Source organism: Homo sapiens, chromosome 19, assembly GCF_000001405.40.
Source record: "Homo sapiens chromosome 19, GRCh38.p14 Primary Assembly".
Classification (NCBI taxonomy): Eukaryota; Metazoa; Chordata; class Mammalia; order Primates; family Hominidae; genus Homo; species Homo sapiens.
The window spans coordinates 48,507,406-48,515,809 of NC_000019.10; the positions used below are offsets into that span (position 1 = coordinate 48,507,406).

At 56.3% G+C, this 8,404-nt stretch overlaps 1 protein-coding gene across 4 annotated transcripts in view, besides 1 other annotated feature; it reads right to left on the reverse strand.

Annotated features, from left to right (window-relative positions):
• Window positions 1-6,275, reverse strand: part of LMTK3 (lemur tyrosine kinase 3) — a 28,410-nt gene extending 22,135 nt beyond the window's left edge. The window contains exons 1-6 of one of the 4 annotated variants that reach the window (XM_011526412.3): window positions 6,174-6,275; window positions 4,096-4,208; window positions 3,054-3,187; window positions 2,618-2,768; window positions 2,032-2,108; window positions 1,446-1,564 (exon numbers count right to left, since the gene is read on the reverse strand). In XM_011526412.3, coding sequence (XP_011524714.1) covers window positions 1,446-1,564; window positions 2,032-2,108; window positions 2,618-2,768; window positions 3,054-3,187; window positions 4,096-4,208; window positions 6,174-6,181 — 602 coding nt within the window. In that variant the 5' untranslated portion in view covers window positions 6,182-6,275. Of the gene's footprint in view, window positions 1-1,445; window positions 1,565-2,031; window positions 2,109-2,617; window positions 2,769-3,053; window positions 3,188-4,095; window positions 4,431-5,734; window positions 5,758-6,140 lie in introns of those variants that run through there. The other 3 variants (XM_011526411.3, NM_001080434.2, NM_001388485.1) reach the window with 3 other exon arrangements.
• Window positions 6,971-7,117: a silencer, noted in NCBI's record as "fragment chr19:49017633-49017779 (GRCh37/hg19 assembly coordinates)". NCBI's record gives its function as "represses an EF-1alpha promoter that drives an FKBP-Casp9 reporter gene in an ReSE screen in phorbol 12-myristate 13-acetate-treated (for megakaryocytic differentiation) K562 erythroleukemia cells {active_cell/tissue: K562(+PMA)}" and the evidence as "EXISTENCE:reporter gene assay evidence [ECO:0000049][PMID:32094911]".

Genomic DNA, 8,404 nt, shown 5'->3' on the forward strand with positions numbered 1-8,404 from the left:
GGGTAACGAGACAGACCCTGAGCTGCTGCTAGTAGAGACCTGCACTGTCCAACAGAGCTTTGCGAAGGTGGGAATCTTCTGGACCAGCCCTGCCTACCAGGGGAGCCACTGGCCACAGGTGGCTATTGAGCACTTGAGATATGATGAGGGTGGCTGAGGAAATGTGTTTTTAATTTGATTGCATTTTAATTAGCTTACATTTTATTTATTTATTTATATAATAGAGACAGGGTCTCGCTCTGTTGCCCAGGTGGGAGTGCAGTGGTGCAGTCATAGCTCACTCCATCCTCCAATTTCTGGCCTCAAGTGATCCTCCCACCTTGGCCTCCCAAAGTGCCGGGACTACACGAGTATACCACCGTGCCCATCTTAGCTTAAATGTAATAGGCATATGTGGCCAGTGTTTGCTGGCACAGGTTTAGGGAGAGACAGGCAATAAGCAAGTAAGCAAATGATATAGTGACAACCTGGGGTATGGGTTATGAAGAAAACACATGCCATGACGGGGTGAAGCACCCCAGGACCCTCTTTGGAAGGAGGGGAGGAGTAAGGGAAGATGTCTCTGAGCTGAGGCCTGAGGAAGGGAAGGGGCCCCATCCACACCTGGGGATGAGCAAGGAGTGATATTCTAGAGAGGATATAGCAAGGTCCGATGCGCTGCGGCAGGGAATTGGCTTCCGTGGGGAGGGTCAGTGAAGAGGCCAGCGTGGCTGGGGTGAGGGGGACATTGGAAGGAAGGGACAGTGTCAGACTGCGCAGGGCCTGTGGGCTGTCAGGAGGACCAGATGTGTCCTGTAGGCAGTAGGGAGCCATGGGAGGTTTTGGAGTGAGGGAGTGCCAAAACCCAATGTGTTTCTCAGGGTAAAGCCCACCTTTACAACTGTTCTGATAAGGGGTCTCTGCGAACACACCCTTTCCAAAACAGGGAACTCACTACCTCACAAGGAATTTATCTGGCAAATGGATACCTAGACCCCATCCTAGAAGCACTGAGAGTGGAGTAGAGACCAAGAAGGGCAGGGATGGAGCTCCACAGTGGCCTGCTCGGGCACCTGCTCAGGGACCTAGTCTGTGGCCTGGGGAAGGGAAGTACCAGCTGGTACCCAACATTGGACATGGGAATCTCACATCCTCTCAGCTGCCCTCTTCATGAGGACACTAGGGCTTCCTGGACTCACTTTCCAGATGAAGATCCGGAGGTTCAGAGGGGAGAGGAGCAGGCCTCTAGCTCAGCTTCTGTGCTCCCGCCTCCTCCACCATCCTGCCTCTCACTTCCCACCCTTAGCTCGGTCCAGAGGAAGAACCTGAGGTTCAGGGAGGGAAGTTCTCCTGCCAGAGCTGCACAACCGGAAGAGGTAGATTCCAGGTGTGACCCCATACAGCACTCCTTCCACTCCTGAATGTCACCTCAACAAGGCACACACCCACTGAGAAACCCTCAGTACCTGTACGGCTGTGCTTCCGAGATGAACTTGCGTTGCTCCAGGGGCCCCGCGCTGGCTCGGAGCTCCTTCACCACCACCTGGGCGGGGGTGTAGTCGGAGAAAATCTCTCCCAGGATCACCTGGTCAAGGGGCACCCAGGAGTCAGCGAGTGCCGTTTCCCCAGCCCCGTCCCCTGGGACCAGCTCCACTCCACCACACAGCTCCCAACCCCCGGCTCCTTCCCAGCTTCTCCCTCCACATCCCACCACCCTTGACCCCCACCAGACATGGGGTGAGACACTCACGGGCCCAGAATCCGATGGACGCAGGGACGGATGGAAGGATGGACAGACGGACGGACGCGTGGAGAGCCGGGTGGCGCGGCGGAGTGGTCAATGGAGTGAGGAGGGAGGCGCTGACTGACAGATGTCGGGGATGGGGCGGGTGGGAGCCGGTGAGAGGTGGACGGAGGGGGGATGGGAGGCTGAGGGGGCATGGGGAGGAGGCGAGGGACAGATGAGAAGTGGTGAGAGCAGGGGTGTGGACACAGAACAGGAGGACAGCTCGGGATCCATGGAGCCCTGCCTCCCCTCCCCAGCCCACTCACCTTCCCAAACCAGCCACTCCCAATCTCCTGCAGGTAGCTCAGGTGCTGCCGGCTAAGGCCCAGGGGGGTGGTCATGTCTGGGGAGGGCAAGAGGGGAAAGCCCCTGAGTCTCTCCCCCTTCCTGAGTGCTACCAACACACCCCAGGTCAGTGGGGACTGAGACAGAGCAGACATCACTCTCTTTTCATTGGCTGCCACCCACATTCCATGTCAGAATCTCAGCTTCCTCATTGGCTGCTCACAAGGCTCCAGCATCCAATCAGTCCTTCCTTTTGGCATCCCAAGCTCCTATGATGTGATTTCAGCCTCCCATTGGCTGCCTCTGAGACTGTGCTCTATGGTAATCTCACCACCGCTTGCCCCTTAAAAATCCCCAAATCTGGTTTTGGATTAAGCAATGGCTTCCACCAAGATGATCTTTGTCTGCCTCCCCATAGGCTGCTTCCAAGATTCCAGCGCTCCCACCTATGCCTTTCCCATTGGCTGCCGCTGGTCTCAACCGCCCCAGCCCCTGAAGGAACACACTCAACATCTTCTGGCCTTTCCCGGGACACCATGGGATGCTGGTCATGGCGTGGGGCAGTACCTGAGTGTGAAGGCTGCGGGGCAGGCATTGGCAGGGAGACCTCAGCCAGCGGGAGAATGTAGACATCAGGCAGCGACTGTGAGGAGGAGGTCTCCTCCGCAGGGGGAGTGTACTCCCCGGAGCAGTCCTCCCCTTCAGGGTTCTCAAATTCCTGGGGCCAGGAGAGGAGAAGAGGGGTGGGAGAACGCAGGGCTGAGAGACACGCCATCGTCTTTCTCTTAAGTTTGTCTCCCCTTCATTTTTGTAACTGTCTCCCAGTCCCAGCCCAATTTCCATCCCCCATTTCCCCATCCCAAGGCTCCAGATCTTGCCATAGCTTCAAGCTGGAAGGTGCTCTCGGATTTACTGCCCCCTTCTCCCCACCAACCACCTGTGTAGGGGGTAAAGGCCTTGCTGGAGTCTTCCTCCCCAAGTTGAATCCCCTCATGCACCTCACCTTGAAGCCGACATCGCCCCGTTTGCAGCACAGACAGGTGAGGAGGAGGAAGATGAAGGCCAGCAGGCCGGAGCAGGAAATGAGGACCACAGCGTAGGGAGGAGCCAGAGGAGCCCGGCCCAGGGCGAATCCATCTGTGGGCACAGGGCTGGGCTGGGGTCCCAGCTTCAAGTCCCTGGATACCGGAATCATGCCCCCTCCCGTCCCGGCACGTCTTGGACTACAACTCCCGTGATGCTCTGCGACCAGGGTCCCTTGGCAGAGGTGCAGAGTGGCCCAAGGCATTGTGGGAGTTGTAGTTTGGGGCCTTCCCAAGTGGTTGGATTGGGGGTGGGGTCTCTCTTCTCGTCCCAAACTGGGACCCCCGCCACCTCATCCCACCCCATCCCCTCACCCCAGGCTTGGATGAATTCCAATGAGGGTTGAAGGAAAGAGGAGTGATAGTGAAGTCTGGAGCTTGCAGAATTTAAAATACGCTCCCGTGGACAGCCTCATTACCCCTCGTTGGGGAGGAGGACTAGCTCTCAGCTGCAGGCTGGGAGAAGATTCTTGCCCCATGCTGGAACCCCCCAGTTTGTGGGGTTGAGATCTGTCTCTTTTAGGGACGCTTGGCGCACACCGATGTTCTCTATCCCCAGCCCAAGACCCAGAGAAGGGAACTCCGCAAGCCCTGGGTCTCTCCAGAAGCCAGAGACAGCCTCCCGTGTTGTGTCCCCCTTAGAAATAGTATTCCTGTCCTCTGCCCCCAATTCTCCCAGAGGCCCTGTCCTTCCCCTTCTTCCTGCACACACCAGCACAAACACATGCGTGCACGCATACACACATGTTGCCCAAACGGAGCCCCCTCCCCACCCAGCCCCCAGCCTCCCTCCCACAGGCCCTGCTGACAGAGGCACCGTCCCCGCCGCTCCGGGCCCTGCTGGGCTGCGGGAAGACGCGCACCAGGTGACGGGGCAGGACCCGCAGACAGACCCCTGGGCAGACAGCGAGGCCGCCGCGGGGGTGGGGGCCACCGGACAGACTGATGGCCCGACAGACTCACCGGGGTGGGCCGGGGACGCCAGGCAGCCGGAGGCGGAGACGGCCGCAAGGAGGATGAGGGCGCCGGGGGCAGGCATCTTGTCGAGGATGGCAGGGAGGTGGAGGTGGTGGCGGCTGGGGAGGAGGGGGGGGCGGGCCCTCAGCCCCCAGCCATGGGGACCCGCGCGACCCTGGCCTCCTCCCGGCCCAGGAGAGGGGCAGGAGACGCAGGACAGGGGGAGGGAGGGGCTGCTTGCTGGCTCAGGTACCCCCCTCCCCCTCTTTGAAGGGACAGACGGATGAAGGGATGGAGAGGCGGACAGAGGAGAGATGCTGGGGAGCCGGGGTTGCTGGGGTGGGGGGGAGAGGGTAGGATGGGGGGGGCGAGAAAGAGGGCCCCGCCCCCGAGGGCAGCCAGGATTGGGGGAGCAGAGAGCCTGTCACAGGAAGGGTGGGAGGAGGGAGGATGGAGCGTCGTCATGGCAACTGGCTCCCCCGTAGCATTGGCTGCCAGGAGGGAGGGGAGGAAATGGGAGGGGGAGGGACAGACAGGGACCGGCACACACTTGCAGCGGGGGTGGGGGGGCAGGGCCCACGGGTGCCTGGCCCGGACACCGCTGTGACATGCCACCAGCATGGACACATGTGCTACACGCTAAGATGCAGATGTCAGGCACGCGCAGCCCACACACAGCTGACACACGTCGCAGGGACCCTCATAGACAAGCGCATCACATACAAAGGTGGACAGCCATCAGCAGACGGGGACACGTACACGTCACACACAAAGACGCAGGGACCGCACTGGAAACGCACAGGCAGGCCAGCTTCCAGCACAGATGCACCCGGCCACGCAGGAACGTCAAAGCATCACAAAGACCCACACATGCCCCGGACAAAGTAAAGCCCCAGATCCACAGACGCACACGCCACAGACAAAGATCCCCACGGACACCACTGTGACATGCTGACACTCATAGTCACAGCCACGCAGACAGTCCCTAGACAAATGGGCAACAAAGAATACCCACAGACACAAGTATCACATACATGCACGTCACACAGACATGCACAGACAGCAATTGCACAGACACACGCAGACACACACATCACATGAACTAACATAGACACGGACACAGCAGCTACACAGAGACAGGCACATCACATACATGAGTACACAGAAACATAATACATGCATGTATACGGACACGTAACATGCATCACTCACACGGACACAAGCTTCACTCACATGGATACACACAGACACACTACATACACATGCATGCGGGCACACACAACTCATACATACAGGGCTACATAAATCACATGCAAAAATACACATAAATACACCACACACTGATACATACAGACACATATAACATGCACATATACACAGTCACACATACATAAGCACAGACATAGGCACACAGATCAAATACACAGACACACAGAGTTGCACACATCACATACCTAAACAGACATGGACACACACATCACAAATACACACACCTTTCACACAAGGTTACAAAGACACAGAACCCCACCACAGTCACACATCACATACATAAACACACACTGGCACACATAACACATACAAAGAGTCACACACCCACAACACAGACACAGACACGCGCACAGACACACGGGTCGCAAATACCCACGTTTCCCGTGCGGTTACGCAGACATTACACAACCACAGCACTTGCCTCATACAAAAGATACATGATCATAGTTTATTTAATGTATTTATTCTTATGAGTATTTAGTCTGTGCCAGGTATCGTCCGCAGCGTTTTACACGTACAGAATTACCTCTCAATCCTCACAACCGCCCTCTGAGACAGGTATTTTTTAATCATGCCCATTGTACAGATGAGGCAACTGAGGCACAGCGCGGGGTAGTCACCTGCCCCAAGGCACACAAGCCGGGGAGTGGCAAAGCTGGGACTGGAACCCGGTCCATCGGGGACACCGACACATCAGACAAGGACACACATACATCACGTGCCAGGCCGCCGCCGTCTCGGGGTCACATCCCACCCTCCAGCGCCCCGAGCTGCAGACACACCCGGAAGCGCGGACTCCCACCCTGGGCGCGGACCTCTCCATCGTCCGTGAGCACCTGCGAGGCGTTCCCCTGGGTGAGGCTGGGCCGGAGCTGCGCACCCAAGACGCAGCCTCAGCAACACTCGGCGCAGGCGACCCAGCCCCCAACCCCAACCCCCAGCAGGGGCCCAGGGCTTTCCACCAAAACGCGCAGCCGTGGCGCACACCGGCCGGGCAGTGCACACTCCCCGCAGAGCGCAGCCGTCCTCATCGGGGGGCTCAGGGGAAGGGGCTGCCCTCAGGGTGTCTCATTGGAGAAACTGAGGCAGGTTCATCGCGGGAGGGAGGGGGCGCACGGCCTAGGCTGCAGGGTGGAGGGGATGCAATCGGGGGGCGGGGAGTGAGAAAAGACGCAATTCGCTGCCCGGGTGGCTGAAGGGCACAGAACCTGGCGGAAGCAGAGGCTTATGGGAGGTGTAGTCCTGGCCTTGAGACTTGTAGGAAATGTAGTCCTGCTCGACCCAGCAAGGAGGCTCAGATTAAGCTGCGGTTGGATGCGGGTAGCAGGAGCCGAGGAAGGGTCCGCTGCCTGGGTCTTTGGAAGTGATGTGGGCAGAATTATCAAGTCCTAGGGAGCGGCACAGGCGGGGCTGCAGTCCTGACTCTGGCCCCAGCTCGCTTGTTCATGTATTCACTCAACGAACGTTTACTAGGTGCCCACTATGTGATTAGGCAGGCGCTGGGCCAGAAGCTGGGGCTGCAGCAGGAAGCAAGTGAGACGCGTTCCCTCACCTTCTGGGAGTCTCGGGGGTTCAAGGAAAGCAGCCACGAGTGGAATAATTGCACATCAGGACTTAGCACTGCCGGGCACCACTGAGTCAGGGTGGGGATGGAGTGGGTCTTGTCTGGGGAGTAACAGAGGGTTCCCTAGAGCTTTCCAAACTGTGAGCGCCCAGCCATTAGCAGGGGTGATATCAAGATCCTCGGTGGTCTCAGAAACAAAGTCACTCTCTGAAAAGAAAGAAAGACAAAAAATCCTCCGTGGCAATCAGCACTTTTTTTTTTTTTAATGGGGGCCGGGCGTGGTGGCTCATGCCTACAATCCCAGCACTTTGGGAGGCCGAGGAGGGTGGATCATGAGATCAGGAGATCGAAACCATCCTGGCCAACATGGTGAAACTCGGTCTCTATTAAAAATACAAAAATTAGCTGGGCATGGTGGTGCGTGCCTGTAGTCCCAGCTACTCAGGAGGCTGAGGCAGGAGAATCGCTTGAACCCAGGAGGCAGAGATTGCAGTGAGCCGAGATCGCCGCGCCACTGCACTCCAGCCTGGTAACAGAGCGAGAGTCTGCCTCAAAAAAAAAAAAAAAAAAAAAAAAAAAAAAAAAAAAAAAGAGTATCAGTCTGTTTAGGTCAGTTTTATCACCAAACTTGCCCTAAAACTTTTTCCTTTTTGACACTTTATTGATTTCAAAACTGAAACTACATGTCAGTGGTTCTCAAAGTATGGTTCAGAGTCGCTTAGGAGTCCCTGAGACCCTTTCAAGGGGTCCATGAGGTCAAAAGTATTTGTATACTACCCTCCTGAGATGTTAACTGCCTTTTTCGTTCTCATTCACTCATAAGTGGACAGTAGAAGTTTCCAGAAGTTGCCTGACATGTAATGAATGGCTGCACTGAAGACAGACACAGATGCAAGGATCCAGCCAGACATTAAAGAGATGTGCGGCCGGGCGCGGTGGCTCACACCTGTAATCCCAGCACTTTGGGAGGCCAAAGCCAGCGGATCACTTGAGGTCAGGAGTTTGAGACCAGCCTGGCCACAGAGTGACAGAGTGGAACTCTGTCAAAAAAAAAAAAAAAAAAGATTTTCAAAATGACACAAACAATGCCACTCAATGCACTGAATTTTTTTGGAAAATAGTTTTTTTTTTTTTTGAGATCGAGTTTCACTCTCGTTGCCCAGGCTGGAATGCAATGGGGGCGATCTTGGCTCACTGCAACCTCCAGCTCCCGGGTTCAAGTGATTTTCCTGTTTCAGCCTCCTGAGTAGCTGGGATTACAGGTGCCCGATACCAGGCCTGGAAATTTTTGTATTTTTAGTAGAGACGGGGTTTCACCATGTTGGTCAGGCTGGTCTCGAACTCCTGACCTCAGGTGATCCACTTGCCTTGGCCTTCCAAAGTGCTGAGATTACAGGTATGAGGAGCCACTGCCACTGGCTTTTTTTTTTTTTTTTGAGATGGAGTCTTGCTCTGTTGCCCAGGCTGGAGTGCAGTGGTGCA